This window comes from Homo sapiens, chromosome X (assembly GCF_000001405.40).
Source record: "Homo sapiens chromosome X, GRCh38.p14 Primary Assembly".
Classification (NCBI taxonomy): Eukaryota; Metazoa; Chordata; class Mammalia; order Primates; family Hominidae; genus Homo; species Homo sapiens.
This window is the reverse complement of record NC_000023.11, coordinates 50,631,085-50,647,822: the sequence shown is the minus strand read 5'-3', so window position 1 is coordinate 50,647,822 and position 16,738 is coordinate 50,631,085. Positions and strand designations below refer to the sequence as shown.

The 16,738-nt window shown below is 46.4% G+C and overlaps 1 protein-coding gene across 17 annotated transcripts in view, besides 1 other annotated feature; it reads left to right on the top strand.

Moving 5' to 3' along the window:
• SHROOM4 (shroom family member 4) overlaps positions 1-16,738 on the top strand; it is a 238,661-nt gene that overhangs the window by 166,372 nt on the left and 55,551 nt on the right. For 9 of the 17 annotated variants that reach the window (XR_007068196.1, XR_001755718.3, NR_027121.3 and 6 more), the window contains exons 3-4: positions 9,515-9,649; positions 12,155-14,645. Coding sequence is in view for 8 of the 17 variants with exons in the window: in NM_020717.5 (NP_065768.2) it covers positions 9,515-9,649; positions 12,155-14,645 (2,626 nt within the window). In the remaining 9 variants the exon portion in view is untranslated. Of the gene's footprint in view, positions 1-4,150; positions 4,516-9,514; positions 9,650-12,154; positions 14,646-16,738 lie in introns of those variants that run through there. The other 8 variants (XR_007068197.1, NR_172068.1, XM_047442279.1 and 5 more) reach the window with 3 other exon arrangements.
• Positions 12,415-12,916: an enhancer, noted in NCBI's record as "H3K4me1 hESC enhancer chrX:50377907-50378408 (GRCh37/hg19 assembly coordinates)". NCBI's record gives its function as "activates a minimal SCP1, AML or CMV promoter by ChIP-STARR-seq in primed H9 embryonic stem cells {active_cell/tissue: H9 hESC(primed)}" and the evidence as "EXISTENCE:reporter gene assay evidence [ECO:0000049][PMID:30033119]".

Sequence of the window (16,738 nt, the reverse complement as noted above, 5' to 3'; positions counted from 1 at the left end):
GGGGTCCTAACTGTTGTTGGTTATTGTCCTAGGGCTCCATGTCTTTAGTAGTAGAGATGACCTGGGGAGTGGCCAGAAGTAGTTCTGAGGATTTTGAGACTTGACTCTGGGGAAAACCTTTATGGATTCCATCAGACCTCTGAAAAGTGGTAGGTCGAACAGTGAGTTTGAACTGAAAGGGATAATGGGCTTTAAGGAGGAAGAAAAGAAAACTGGTATTATTCCTACAGCCTCTTTCCCAAGGGACGCTATAAATGTTACTGATAGAAACCAGAGCTGGAGGACAAACATCCTCCACCTTCTTTATCGCTTTGGGTGTTGGTTTAGGAAACTGGGCATCATGGCAAAACCTTTAAGGCTATCTGTTGAGTCAGATGGTGCACTGTGAACTTGATGCCATTTTCCCTATGTGCTCCTCTGAAGTCTCCCTTAGCCCTCTGGTGTTGCACCCTTAACTTCTGTACATAGAAGGGAGAGGGAAAAAAACTCTTTCATTATTCAGATTCTGGACTTGCTCCCCTTGCTCCTAGAAGCTTCGAAATATTCACTATCCACCTCTTTGCCTTTAGGATCATTGATAAGATCAGCCAGCTTTTTCCCTCTTCTGTCAGTTAAACAAGTCTATGACTGGTATGTTTTATCACACTATATATAGAAAAACTAGAAATTTCTCTCTAGCCCATTCTGAAAGAGAATCCCGAGTACTGCATTTCTAAAGTACTAAGCATTTTCCTACCCGCTGCTATGTGCAGAGCTTTCCCGAGTCATCTGTATGGTTACTTCCTGCCAACCTTCTTTGGAAAAAGAGGTGTCCCCCTGTGTCTTAAAGATTTCAATGTGAAAATGGAGAAATGGAAGCAGAGGGTCAAATGTAATGCCCTAGCCAGATGAAGTTATCACTCCCTATGCAGAAAGACAAAGAGCACCCCTGACACACACCACAGCATTTGTGGGGAGTCTTTATTTCCACTCGAACATTCCCTTCTTTTCTTATTCCCTACCCTGGGTTTCTTTGTAGCCAGGGATGGATTCTGAGGTGGAGGGTGGAGAGGGGGACCCAGCAGATTTACATGGAAGAACTTGAACTGGCTATTCAGAGGAGGTGGGGAGAGGAGGGGAGGCAGGGAGGCAGAGCTGGGTACCAAAAGCCCCTTCTCCAGAGAGTATTCATCTCTCAGATGACCCAGATTATAGCTTTCCCAGACTGATGAGAAAGCCATTGTCCTGAAAGTTCTCTTTCAAATTACACACACACACACACACACACACACACACACACACACACACACACACACTCTTCCCCCCTTGGTTGGGTCTATAATAAGGAAGGGTTTCCTGATTACCAGGCTGCAAGGACCCCAGCCAACAGTGGGTGGGGGTGGGCCTTCAGAGCTCTGTGTCCCTCCATGGTGACCAGGCAGCTTTTCCCCTCTTCTGTCAAATAAACAAGCCATGCATTGTTCTGTCCTCCGGCTTGTCTGTGGGCTTCCCTTCCTGCTGAGCCTGCCAGAATGAGCTTGGGCTTCTTCGTGTGGGGCAGGTGGAATGTGCTGTTTGGAGGGAGGCTGGAAGAGCCACAGAAAATAAACAGAGCTAATCAAGGACGTTATTTTGTGCTTCTATTTATATAAATACTTTAAAAAGAGGAAAGTACCCACACTCTGTTATGGTCCAGGCCTCAGGTTGAGCACAACCACAAGCAACAGGGGTTACATTTTCCTTTTTCCCCTAAGTTAGAGCAGAGTCATGGTTCTCTTTCTGCTCATCTTCTCCCAAGTATCTCTTCAGGGGTCTGCTGGGAGCCAGGCTCAAAGACAGATGGTGCTATCGGAAGATACTGGGGTGACAGCTGACTAGCGCAGCTGGAGACTGACTCCTTTCAGAATTGGTCCACCTCCACCCCTCACCTCTCACAAGAGCCTTTATAAGGCCTCTCCTGGGAGCCAGCTTCTGGCTTTTCTGCTGCATGTGCCCACCCTCCTGTGCCCCCATGCCAAGTTCACGTCTCCTGAGTACTTGGAAAAGAAGCAGTCATCTTTACCGTCCCCTGAGCACAGGAGGTCATACTTGATCATGTTATCTGGAACTCAGCTCCGCTAAATGGGAGCATATGCCCTTTTCCCTCCACCACCTCTCCCAACCTCTTCCCCAAATCCCAAACTGGCTAAACCGCTCAAGTTTCTCTCTCATCTTCCCTCAACGAAGGATTTCTTGAGTATACACTATTTGTGCCCACCTGCCTACTCCTCATCTGATGACATCCCAACTCTCATCTTCGCACCCTTTCTCCCTACCTCAGCCAGCTCCATGAACATGCTTGCACCTCTAGTCACAATTTCTTCAGCCTCACCTGGCCACTGGCAGGGTCACACTGATAACAAACCAGTTGCTCTTTATTTTGTTAGGAAGTGGGGATTGGCAAACTTCTTCAGGCAAGCGTTTGCATGGGCTGGGCCACTGAGCAAAAGGAGAAAGACATTTGGCGACCAGAAGAGCAAGGGCGGCCGGACACCCAGGCCTGAGGAATGAAATGAAAAGAGATTTTAACCTGATGCATTTTTTGGACCAGATTATGTCCTGGTATATTGCCACTCAGAATGTGGTTATCACACCAGGAGCATCAGTATCACTCTGGAGCTTATTAAAAGTCAGAACCTGGGCCTCGCTGAATCAAAATCTGCATTTTAACAAGATCCCCAGGTAATTAGTATGCCCACTACAATTTGAGAGTGCTGTTCCAGAGTGTACTGGGTTTGGCATTTGAGCCTTCTCTTAACTAGTCCTTTCTCTTTTATCTTCATTTGGATTGAAGAAATCAGTTTTCTTATTGCTAATGGTACCTCGCTCATTATTATTTTGCATACGGGTAATATTAAAAACAGATAGCATTTATTGAGTGCCTTTTACATGCCAGGCATGTTTTATAGATGAGGAAACCAAGGTTCTGTGACATGCCCAAGGCCAAACAACTAGTGAATGGTAGAGCTGAGACTGTAAGCCAGATCCATATGCTCCTCAAAGCTCCCAAACTTTCCCCTATACAGTTGATAAAAGTCAACCCAGACTCTCCTGTGAGATACAGAGGGAAGAAAGGGGAAGGGGCCTCCAGGCATGATTTCCCCAGAGAGGAAAGGCCCTAGCATACATACTTCATGTCCTAAGGGAGTTTGCATAAGCCCTCTCAGGAGCCAGAAATTACTGGAATTGAGGCCAGAGGCCAAGGGAAACTGGAGTAGGGAATTGGGAGTGTTAATGAAAGGAAAACCCTGACTCTAATTCCCCAAGATAAATTAAATCCTGGTGCCTGAGCCTGGGCTTAGGGGGTGCAACAAATCCACATAGGGCTGCTCTGGATTCTGGCTACTGCGCTAATCACTTAGGGCATCATTTGGAACCTCAGCCTGGGGCCTAGGACTACTACATCATAGCATGCTAGAGTGGGAAGGGTCATTTGTGACGATTGAATTCAATGTTTTATTTTACAGGGAGGAAACAGAAGCCCAGAGAGTGGGAGTAAGTTGCCAGAGGTCAGAGTGAATTCATGGCAAATCCAGGGACACTGACCCCAAACACCACATTTCCAGCATTGCTAATGGGCACCTTTTCTGGAGTTGAAGTCTCTGGTGTAAAATTGGGTTTTCTTTGGATCTGCTCAAGTCCGCACAGGAAGTGCAGACCCCTGTAAATACATCCGAAAATGTTTGTGAGCCTTCGTATCTCACCAGGACCTTCACCTTGGAAAATCTCTCAGTCACTTGCCCCCAGCTATATAAAATCAGCTGGAGTGCTACTCCTCTGGACCTGGAGGCTGCTAGTCCTGGCTTATCTGTACTTTTCTGGGGCCCAGAGGACCTGCAGAGATGGCTGGGTGGGGTCAACTCAGTCCAGGAAGCACAGGAATTCTTTTAAGTGTATGTGTCTGGGGTATTTTTCTCTCTCACTTACGTGTATTTTTAAAAATTCTTTTTAGACACCCGCTTTATCTTTCCCAAACATCATTTCCTTGCTCCTTTCCTGAGTTCTAGCAGTGGCTGGGGGCCCAGCTTCCTTATTGGCCTCTGAGCTGCCGAGGGGGTGGGCCAGGGCTCAGAGGAGGTTGGAGTAGGGAGCAGGGGGGCTGTTTATGCTGCTGGAAGTGCCTTTCATCCTTCCCTTTGCCACCAGGGTGCTGGCTGGTTCCTGGAGCAGCGTCTTCACTCCTATCCAGCTCTTGACACTGGCTTTCGTTCCCTAAGGCTGTGGCCATATCTAGGTCCATCCAGGCTGATGGTCATACCTTGCCTTCAGTGCTACTCCTTCCTGTTCTTAGAACTGGAACCTGACTGTGCCTGAGCCCCTTGGATCACACTCAGCATCTTGGGCTGATGGTCCCTCGCCCCAGAAGGTCTTAACTGGAGGGCAGATGGGTCCCAGCTAAGGGAGGACGCTGGCTGGAGGGTTTGTCAACGAGAGTCTGAGCTAGCCGGATACCCCGCTCTCTCCCAAGCCATCTCTCCACCCTGGGCAACTTCCATGGTAGGTACAGCCAGTAGCCATGGCTGCTGCCACTCTTCCCCCTCTTGCTTTCTTTCTTCAATATCTCTTTCTTTTTGCTTCCTAAGAAAAGCATTTTGGAGTAATGAAGGATGGGATGAGGTGTGTGCTTATTGATAGTGCCTGAGCCAGCCTTAGGAGAAAGGCAAGCACTGGGGTCACTGCCTTCACATCTTGGCCTAGAGCTGCATGGTTGGTCGTAGGCATTTTCTTACTTTTCTGTTTGTTTCTCCTCCTCTCTCTCCCCACTGCCTATGGAGGGAATGGTTTCAGCTCTAGGACTAATGAGACCTCCCTTTGCTGACTGCTTCTTGAGGGAATTGCTATGGGAAACCTCAGGAATACAGGCTTTTTCAGATAGACTCTTCCTTGGAGAGGAGGGGTCGTGTGGTATCCTAGGAAAAAACTGGAGGATCTGAGTTTCATTCCCAATTCTGCTGGTTATTAGCTATGTGCTCTTGGCGAATCACTTAAGCTTTATGCATCTCTGGTTCTCCATTTGTAAAGTGGGGATAATAACTTACCAGCTGGACATGGTGGCTCATGCCTGTAATCCCAGCACTTTGGGAGGCTCAGGCAGGAAGATTGCTTGAGGCCAGGAGTTCAAGACCAGCCTGGCCAACATGGTGAAACCCCATCTCTACAAAAAATACAAAAAAATTAGCCGGGCACGGTAGCATGCACCTGTAGCCTGTAGTCCTAGCTACTCAGGAGGCTGAGACAGAAGGATAGCTTATGCCCAGGAGTCTGAGGTTGCAGTTAGCTATGAGTGTACCATTGCACTCCAACCTGGGCAACAGAGCCAGAGAGGCCCTGTCTTAATAATAATAACAATAATAAAACTGTTTCACATAAGGTTAGAGAGATGATTAAATCAGTTAATGCATGTGAAATGCTTAGTGCCTGGCACATCTTCAGTGTTCAATAAGTGGTCCTGCTGTGTGTTTTCTTTAAGTTTATACAGTATGTCAGGCACTATGCTGGTTGATTTCACACATGGGACTGCATTTAATCCAAAACATAACTCATGAAAAACAGATGGTCATCTTCCCCATTTTGCAGATAAAAAATCTGCAACTCGCAGAAGTGACTTGCCCATGGCCACACAACTACAGTTTGAATGCAAGTGTAGACTGACTTCAAGTCTAGGGCTATTCCGAGCTAATAATAGGCCAAATAGTAGACCATATAGATAGTTTATTCTCCTGTCCCAAACTAGGGTTAGAAGGCTCTAGCTCTGGCTCCAGCTCCCTCTGTTTGGATTTTTCTTCTTCCAGTCTTTAGTTTTCTCTGTGTCCTAAAAGCCCCCACTTCCCTCTTCTGTCTACTTTGGGATTGGTTCCTACTCCTGGAGAAACCCTAGAAAGAGTAAGGGGCCAGCCAGGCGCAGTGGCTCACGCTTGTAATCCCAGCACTTTGGGAGGCCGAAGCGGGTGGATCACCTGAGGTCAGGAGTTCAAGATGAACCTGGCCAACCTGGTGAAACCCCATCTCTACTAAAAATACAAAATTAGCTGGGCATGGTGGCACATGCCTGTAATCCTAGCTACTCAGGAGGCTGAGGCAGGAGAATTGCTTGAACCAGGGAGGCGGAGGTTGCAGTCAGCCAAGATTGTGCCATTGCACTCCAGGCTTGGCGACAAGAATGAGACTTCGTCTCAAAAAAAAAAAAAAAATAGTAAGAGTCTTTGTAAGGTATGTTTCACAGTGTGGCAAGGTAGTGGTACAGTAGAACCTCAACAGTGGATGGTACCCTAGGTGTGGGTACTCTTGAGCCATCAAAAGGTACAAGTCTGAGCTAATAACCATTATTATAGTACCTGCTACTTACTGACCACTTGCTGTGCATCAGGCTGTGTCCCAGATGCTTTGAGAATACTATCTCTAATCCCCACAGTCACCTAGCCAGATAGGAATTATTGTTTCCTTTCTCAGATAAGAAAACTAAATTTCAGATGGGTTAAGCAACTTACAGATACACACATCTAAAGTGGCAGAGGGGATCTGAACCTACATCTGTCTCACTCATTTTTCACCCATTGCCTACTGGCTTGGTATAGTTGGTGAGATGAGACTGACACACATGAAATGATGATGGGCAATATCAAATATCATATTATTATGGACCCAATTGTGAGGGCTAGATTACCCTGAACAAGCTTCCTGGAGGAGATGGTACTTGAGCAGTACCTTGAAGAACAGGTAGGATTTAGGTTAACAAAAGGAGAGGGGGCATTCCAGGCAGAGGGAACAGTCATAGTCATAACTATGATTGGTCGAGGCCTTGCCAGGCCTGATTCAAAGCACTTGCATTGTCTCATTTGATCTTTCAACAATCCCATTTGGTACTATTATCCACATTTTACTGCCATGAAAACTAGGGCTCTGAGAAGTGAAGTCACCTGTCTAAAGCAACAGAGCTAATGAGTGGTAGAGCTGGGATTCAAACAAAGGTGGTCTGACCCCAGAGCCTGTGTTAGATCAACAGGAATATCAACAGCAAAGGCACAGAATCAGGAAGGGACAGAGCTGGTTGCAGGCTGTGATTGGAGCAGAGAAATGAGAGATTGAGCTGATGGGTAAGGATAGCTTATTGAAGACTTTGAAACTGATCTAGTTTACGTTTGATGTGGGACAGAGTAAGAAATAGGGAGCCAGTGAAGATTCTTGAATAGGAGAGTACCCCAATTCAGTTGGCGTTTAACATGATATGACCTAAAAGCAGTGACTGGAGGTAGAACAAGGCAGACAGGCCGGCAGACTTCTGCAGTATTTGGGGCATAAAGTTTCAAGGGCCTGGACTAGAACAGGAGCTGCTGGTGGTGGGTTCTGGGAGAAGAGCTGTGGTTCTGTCTAATGGCCACAGTGAAAATGGAGGGGGGGTAGGGGGAGAGAGAGAGAGAGCAAACCAGGGCCAGAGAAACATCATAAAAAAAAGACTCAGTAGAACTCCGTGTGGGATTGGATGGTTAGGGAGAAGGTGGCACCAAGGCTGACTGCCCGCACTTTAAACCCAGAACTCAAGAACCCTAAATATGGAAAAAGGCTTGAAATAGGAAGGATACCCTGTTCACCACTATATCCTCAGTGTCTAAAAGCATAGGTCATAGTAGATACCCATGGTACATAGTACTACTACTGGTAGATGCTTGACAAATAGTTGTTGACCGGATAACTACCTGGTAGCAGCAGCTGGAGAGATTTCCCGGCAGTGTGGCTTTGTGTGTAGGACTCCAGAGCAAGCATAGCCCCCAAGGTCTCCTTGTGCCTTCAGCCCCCACTCTGGGCACTCTGAAATCAATAATAGAACAATGTGATTACAAAGCTAGGGGCTTCACCTGGCTTTCCTCCGCTTAAATCTTAGCCACTGTTGCTGACCTGTGGCTATACTTCCTGGCCTTTGACAAACAGCTTCCCCTGCCCTTCCTCCTATACCTCCTGGTCTGTGTCTGGCCTATTACCACTCAATCCTTGTTTTCCCCAGCAAGGCTATTCTTCTGAAGACTATCTTTTTAGGCCTTAGCCCTCTAGAGCCTTGTACTACTGAGATCTTCTATGCTTCTGCTGGGGTGAGGGGCATTTCCAGCTAGGATGGAATCCTCCAGCTTGAGTGTGACCATGAATGCTCCTGGGAGGTAGAGAGCTGCTTTATCTCACGATATAGCCAGCTTGTTGAAGGCAGGGGCCCTTATCCTATTCAACCCTGTGCTACCAGTGCCTAGTCTGGACCCTGGCACAGTAAATATGAATAAATTGATGAAAATAATTTTTCTGTTTACTTCTGTATCATCTACTTATTTATCATGTTTCTTTTACTCTGCCATTCACCTCTTTCTCTGTCATCCATTTCTCTCTACTATATATTTCTCTACAATCTTTCTCAGAGTTTTCTCTTTTTCTGTCATTTATTTTCCCCTCTATCATCTCTCCTTCTTATCTCTATCATTTGTCTGGCGCTTCCAGCATCTCTCTCTCTCCATTCTCTCTCTACTCTCCCTCCTTCTGTCATTCTCCCTCCCATCAATCACCTTTTTATCTCCTGGCATTATCCATGCCCCACATGTACTCTTCACCACACTACTCTTCCCCACTCGCAAGGGTGGCAACTGCTCATGCGAAGTATGCCAGGGGACAGCGATGGGTCCTGTATGTGGCAGTCAGTGCAAAAGTTGTGGCTGTATTCAGAGTCATGGCCTCAGGCCTATTTCCCTTTATATACCCCTGACCTGCTGAGCAGCCAATCTCCTCTGTCAGCCTAACATGGTGCATTCACCACTTTGTTCTATCTTCCCTCACAGGAGTTGGGGCTTCCTGCCACCAGTTTGCCTACCAACTCAGGTGTCTCACCTCTGTACCCATCTTATCTTTCACTCTGTCAATACCTATCCCATGCTTTGTTTGAACCAGCTCTGTCTCTCCCATTAGTCTGTAAGCTCTCAAGAGCAAAGACTGTATTGGATTCATCTCTGTAATCCCAGAGTTACACGTAGAGGACACACAGTAAACATACAACAAATGCTTATTCAATGAATGGCTAAAAATTGGAGAATTGACAGCCCAGTGTTGACCTGTTCAAACTTTTCAATCACTTGCCCATTCCTTTCTCAGAGAAAAATGGGAAGATTGACCAGATTGATTTTCTTTCTCAAAGAGAAGTGAGGATGTGCTCACTGTTCATTAGGCAGCAGCACTCATTTATTCCACAAATATTTATTGAACATCTACTATGTGTCCAGCACTGTGATACGTGCTCAGGATACTCTTGTGAACAAAGCAGCCCTATGAAGCTGACATTCCATATCTCCAGAATGAAGGAGACTTGAGAACTAGGAGCTCAGGAGGGCCACTAAGATTCCCACACCAGTTCCTTGCAAGATGTTCTACTTTACTGAAGGAAAAGAGGGGGTGGGGCGGAAGCTGCCTGGGAAGTGATTTCAGCTCTGGTTCCTTCAGCCCACTTCCTGTCCCTTTCTTGCTGTAGGAGGAACGCCCCTGTCAGTAGGCCGCACTCATGGCATGTGGCCAAGCTGCTGGAGGGATGCCCTGAAGCAGCCACCACCATGCATTTCCCTTCTGAAGCCTTCAGCTTGTCCTGGCATTCTGGCTGCAACACAAGGTGAGTCTAGAGCCCTCCCCTCAAGACAGGCTGGAGGGTAGACACCTTGGACACTCCTCCTCCTCTGCTCTAGTCCCTGTTGGATGTTAGAGCCTCAAGTACTATAATGGAAAAGCAAGTGGGAGTCCAGAGTACCTGAGTTCAAGTGCTAGTCTCTTGCTAATTCTCTGTGATTTTGGGCTAGTCCCTTTCCTTCTGGATGATGTTTCCTTGAAATACCTCATTGGGCTTACAAGACACCACACTGTCCTGCTTTTCATTCTATTTCACTAGCTGTTCTTTCTCCGTATCTCTTTTCCTAATTCCTTTTGTTCTCCTGTCTCTTAATGTAGGAGGACCCCAGGGCTCAGTTCTGGCCTGCTTCTCTGTCAATGGCGACTCACTGGTGCCCTTATCTGGTCTTTATTACCTCTGTCACATAGCCAAAGCCTTCAAAATAGGGACCTTCCTGAATAACCATTGTTGAAACAGTTGCCCAAGAGGCAGACAACGTTTTCTTCAGGCTGAGAGCCAGCAAAGGTGCTGCCCTTCACTGCCTTTTCCCTTCCACAAGAGCTTCCCTCCAAGAAGGGATTTCTGTTGCAGGTTCAGAGAAACTAAGGGTTGCGTTTACCCCAATTCGGTGACTTTATTTGGAAACCAAGGGCTCAGGGCACAGGCAGTTTTGTTCTGGAAGAATATGCAGAAACACACTTTGACATTCTTGAGCTTGGCTCCTGTTTGAGTGAGGATTTGTTTTTGTTTTTGTTCTTTTCAGCAGGAATAGTGGTGGAGTGGGTAGCAGGTTCCCTTGCCAATAAGAAATTGATGGATTCCTTGCCCAGAGAACAAGTGAGCTGACTGACTAAGGGGCAAGGCAGGGAGCAAGAATGAGCAGAAAATGACCTGAGGGTCTCATGGGCTGCTGCCACAGTTCAACTCTGGCTTTCTAGACTATGGCCTTTCTGAGAGCAGCCTGCAACCTCTCGGGTTCTAGTCAAAGGGAGTTACTGGCATGACTTGGTTCAGTTTGGCTTTGTGTTTGGGAAATGGTACTTAAAATTGAAGATTGCATCTGATCCTAGCCCTTCCCTTGGTCTTCCAGGTTTGGCTTTGCTGTGGGAGTTGGGGGAGGCGTGGGTGGGCAGAGGCCCCTATATTATCAATACTAGTATTAGAGAGGATCCTGATGGCAAAAACTAATAATCAAGAGAGTAGCAGCTGCCATGTATTGAACCCTTGCTAGGTACCTGGGCTGTGGTAAGGACTTTACATTTACTATCTGCTTTATCTACACATCAACCCTCTGATATAGCTATTACTATTATTCCTATTTAAAAGACCATATGGCAGTAGCGCTAAGACACTGGACTCAGGCCTGATTCAGATTCCAGCTGTGCTTCTTCAGCAGCTTAGTGAGTTTGTCAGTTTACTTTACCTCTCTAAGCTTAAGATTCTTCCATTGTGAAGTGTAGATAATAATCTGTCCCATAAAGATGGGAACAATAGACACTGGAGAATACAAAAGCAGGGAGAAAGGAAGTGGGACAAGGGTTGAAAAACTACCTGTTGGGTACTCTGCTCACTTCCCAGGTGATGAGTTCAATTGTACTCCACACCTCAGCATCATGTGATATACCTTTGTAACAAACCTGTACGTGTACCCCCGGAATCTAAAATAAAGGTTGAAAAAGAAAAAAAAAGATCTGTCCTCTTCAGCTTGAAATGAAACCTTGTAAAGTGTCCGGCACATTGTAGGTCCTCAGTAAATAGTCAGGATTGCTATTATCAAGAAAAGAATAGGGGAACACCTGAATTACAGCCCTGTCTGTGCCAGTAGTTAGAGCTGGGTGTTCTTGAGTAAATCACCATCTCAAAATCACTTCCCTTTGCTGGGCTTGCTTTACACCAGTGGTTCTCAAAAGTGTGATTGCTGGATGAGCAAGCAGCCCCAGCAGCACCTGGGAAGTTGTTGGAAGTACAAATTCTCAGGATTCACCGAGACCTAAAGCTCTAGGATGAGGACAAGTGACCCGTGTTTCAACAAGCCCTGCATGTGATTCTGACGCACATGCTCAAGTTTGAGAATCACTGATTTATTTACAAAATGGTCCGGCTAAAACTGAATCAGCCCTTTAGGGCCCCTCTCTAATGCTGATATTCTGTGATTGTCTCTTTTGGCAGGGAGCCACATGCTGACTCCCTAGGGACAGGGACAGCCTAGAAGCAATTTCAGACTTGCTAATGTCAGGGAAATAGAGGATAACCCCCATAGAGCTCTCCCACTTTTAGTCTTTGGGGTGTTTCCCCATCTTTTTTCCATATATCATCTTGTGTCCCATTTTACTAAGCCCCTGAGGCACCCCAATGTCCATCTTCTTCCCTGTTTCCCTTTCTTCCCCCTTTTTTTTTTTTGCCTACCCTCCTCTCTTTTGTGGCATGGGTACCTCTGGGCTGGCCTGCCCTCTCCTATAGTAGGGCTGGCCATGACTTCGCTAACTAACCAGTATGCCCTGTGTCTTACAGTGACGTGTGTGTGCAGTGGTGTCCACTCTCCCGGCATTGCAGCACCGAGAAAAGCAGCTCCATTGGCAGCATGGAGAGCCTGGAGCAACCAGGCCAAGCCACCTATGAGAGCCATCTGTTGCCTATTGACCAGAACATGTACCCTAACCAGCGTGACTCAGCCTACAGCTCCTTCTCGGCCAGCTCAAATGCTTCTGACTGTGCCCTTTCCCTCAGGCCAGAGGAGCCAGCCTCTACAGACTGCATCATGCAAGGCCCAGGGCCAACTAAGGCCCCCAGTGGCCGGCCTAATGTGGCTGAGACCTCAGGAGGTAGTCGGCGCACCAATGGGGGCCACCTGACCCCCAGCTCTCAGATGTCATCCCGTCCACAGGAGGGATACCAGTCAGGGCCCGCCAAAGCAGTCAGGGGCCCACCACAACCTCCAGTGAGGCGGGACAGCCTTCAGGCCTCCAGAGCCCAACTCCTCAATGGAGAGCAGCGCAGGGCATCTGAGCCTGTGGTCCCCTTGCCACAGAAGGAGAAACTGAGCTTAGAGCCTGTGCTACCCGCAAGGAACCCTAATAGGTTCTGTTGCCTCAGTGGGCATGACCAAGTGACAAGTGAGGGCCATCAGAACTGTGAGTTCAGTCAGCCTCCTGAATCCAGCCAACAGGGCTCTGAGCATCTACTGATGCAGGCCTCAACCAAAGCTGTTGGATCCCCAAAAGCCTGTGACAGAGCTTCCAGCGTGGATTCCAACCCACTCAATGAGGCTTCTGCAGAGCTAGCTAAGGCTTCTTTTGGCAGACCTCCACATCTCATAGGACCCACAGGGCATCGCCATAGTGCCCCTGAACAGCTGCTGGCATCCCACCTGCAGCATGTGCACCTTGATACCAGGGGCAGCAAAGGGATGGAGCTCCCACCCGTACAGGATGGGCACCAGTGGACTCTGTCCCCTTTGCACAGCAGCCACAAAGGGAAGAAAAGTCCATGCCCCCCTACAGGAGGAACCCATGACCAGTCCAGCAAAGAAAGAAAGACCAGACAAGTGGATGACAGGTCTTTAGTTTTGGGACACCAGAGCCAAAGCAGTCCCCCACATGGAGAGGCTGATGGACACCCCTCAGAAAAAGGTTTCCTGGACCCAAACAGAACAAGCAGAGCAGCCAGTGAATTGGCCAACCAGCAACCCTCTGCCTCTGGCTCCCTTGTTCAACAAGCCACGGACTGTTCTTCAACCACTAAAGCAGCTAGTGGCACAGAGGCAGGTGAAGAAGGGGACAGCGAGCCCAAGGAGTGCAGCCGGATGGGTGGTAGGCGAAGTGGAGGGACCCGGGGCCGCTCGATCCAAAACCGGCGGAAGAGTGAGCGTTTTGCTACCAATCTGCGTAATGAAATTCAGAGGAGGAAGGCCCAGCTCCAGAAAAGCAAGGGTCCCTTGTCACAGCTGTGTGACACTAAGGAGCCAGTGGAAGAGACCCAGGAGCCCCCAGAAAGTCCTCCACTCACTGCCTCTAACACATCTCTTCTATCTTCATGTAAAAAACCTCCCAGCCCCAGAGACAAGCTCTTCAACAAAAGCATGATGCTCAGAGCTAGGTCTTCCGAGTGCCTCAGCCAAGCCCCTGAGAGCCATGAATCTAGGACAGGCTTAGAGGGACGAATAAGCCCTGGCCAGAGGCCTGGCCAGTCCTCTTTGGGCCTGAACACCTGGTGGAAAGCACCTGACCCATCCTCCTCAGACCCTGAGAAAGCACATGCTCACTGTGGAGTCCGTGGAGGTCATTGGAGATGGTCTCCAGAGCATAATTCACAGCCACTTGTGGCAGCAGCCATGGAAGGCCCTTCCAACCCAGGTGACAACAAGGAATTGAAGGCTTCTACTGCTCAAGCTGGGGAGGATGCCATCCTCTTGCCTTTTGCAGACAGAAGAAAGTTCTTTGAAGAGAGTAGCAAATCCTTATCTACATCTCATTTGCCAGGTTTAACCACTCATAGCAACAAGACTTTTACCCAGAGACCAAAACCTATAGACCAAAACTTCCAGCCAATGAGCTCCAGCTGTAGGGAATTGAGGCGCCATCCCATGGACCAATCATATCATTCCGCAGACCAACCATATCATGCCACAGACCAATCATATCATTCCATGTCACCCCTTCAGTCAGAAACTCCCACTTACTCAGAATGTTTTGCAAGCAAAGGTCTAGAAAATTCCATGTGTTGTAAGCCACTACACTGTGGTGATTTTGATTACCACAGGACCTGCTCTTACTCCTGCAGTGTTCAAGGAGCTCTAGTCCATGATCCTTGCATTTATTGTTCTGGGGAAATCTGCCCTGCCTTGCTAAAGAGAAATATGATGCCAAATTGCTACAACTGCCGGTGCCACCACCACCAATGCATTCGGTGTTCAGTTTGCTATCATAATCCTCAGCACAGTGCCCTCGAGGACAGCAGCTTGGCACCTGGCAACACTTGGAAACCCAGGAAGCTGACAGTGCAGGTGAGGACTTGGTTCTTGGGTGGGTAACCTTCATTATTGTCTTTGAGAGGGGAAAGCTACGTAAATTATTTAAAAATATAACAATTATAATTCCTTGAAACTGTACAGCACTGGCTTCAGTAGTTGTTAGCTTAGTAACCTTGAAAAAGATACTCAGCCACCAAAATTGCAGTTGTCTCATCTTTAGGGTTAGATAAAAGTAACTTTTGCTTCATAAAATGGGCACAACTGAGATTTATATCCTGACTATAAAATTGATATCTGAGTGACCCAAAGCAAGTCATTCAACCACACAAATTTGAAGTATGTAATTCTAAAGGGAAAAAATAATTTTTCTGTCATAAAATAGCCAGTATTAAGAAGAGTCTCACTACCTCATCTCTAAAATGGAGGAATATCATGGCCGCCTCATGGATCACTTGTGAGAATCAAATCAGATTGTGTCTATGGAGTTCTAGGCCCAGTGCATGATACAAAATATCACTTATTGCCTCCCATTTTCTACTTCAGAAGTATTTAGAGATGCAAAACTTGCAAATATCCCCAGGCTTTGCTTTCAGAGATCTGACTTGTTGGGTTTTTAAAAAGACAAATCCTTTCCCCTTTCTCCATCCTGTCTCTGTTGGAGACCCAGGTCTAAACTGGCTGCTCTTATATCCCGGTTATGACCTATTACCATAACACAAGCTACCACCATCCCCCAGGCTACTTCTGGGAGGACTCCCTAGGTCCTTGCCTACTCACTGCCAGATTACTTCCCCATGGCATCCCTGATGCCATCTTTTGGCCGGTGCATTCAAACCAGAAGTTAATTCCTGTGTTCAGCTGTTGCATACACAGACACTTTTGAAATGACTTAGTATCTGAATTTGCTCAATATATATCCTTGGTAAAAAGGAACTTCAAGGGTGATAGAAGCCTTACACAAAAGACTATGAACTCTACAATTCCTTTTATATGAAATTCTAAAACAGCTATTCTATGGGGGAACAAATTCAGAACACTGCTCGCCAATGGGAGGTGGCACAGAGATTGACTGGAAAAGGGCAGAGGGAACTTGTGGGGTGGTGACAATGTTCTATATCTTGGTAAGAGTTTGAGTTAAACATATGTACCTGTCAGAACTCAACAAATGTATAGCAAGGCTCCTAGACAGCCAATGCACTTAGTATTTGTGCATTTCACTGGAAGTAAATTTTGCCTAAAAATGTTGTAAACAAATATTAAACTTTATTTAATATGTATGCTGAAGTGTGTTTGAAGTATACTGCTGTATTCAACTTATGTTTTCAGCATACAAATCTTGTACATATTTTGTTATATTTGTCCCTGAGATTTTATGAAAGCGCCGAATCCTAGCCACCCAACCACCAGGGATATTTGTCCCTAAGATTTTATGTTTTTAGATGCTATTATAAAGAGTATTATTTTCTTAATGTCAAGTTGAAATTCTTGATTACTAGTCTATAGAAATATAATTGAATTTTGTGTATTGACATTGTATCCTGCAACCTTGCCAAACTCACTTATTAGTTCTAATAGCTTTTTGGTGGATTATAAAACATTTTCTACATACACAATCATGCCATCTCCAAATAGAATTTAGTGTCTTCCTTTCTCCTGTACATGCCCTTTTCTGGGAGAGAGAAGAGCCTTATTGCACTCTCACCTTCAATACAATGTTTGGAGGAAATGGTAAGAGTGGACATTGTAGCTTTTTTCTTAATCTTTGACTATAAAGTTTGATGTTAGCTGTAGGATTTTTTTGTAGGTGCCCTTTAATTGAGGAAAATCTCTTTTATTCTTAGTTTACTGAGAGTTTTCATCAGAAGTGGATGTTGTATTTTTTTTCAAATGCTTTTTCTGTATCTGTTGAGATGATCATATAGTTTTTCTCTTTTAGTCTACTGATGTGGTGAATGACATTGATTGATTTTTAAAATAAATAGAAGCCTAGCATTGCCAGGATAAATCCCACTTGGTCATGATGTATTATCCTTTTATATGTTACTAGATTTGCTAATATTTTGTTAAGGATTTTGCCCTTATGTTTATCAGGGATTTTAGTCTATAGTTTTATTATAACATCTTTT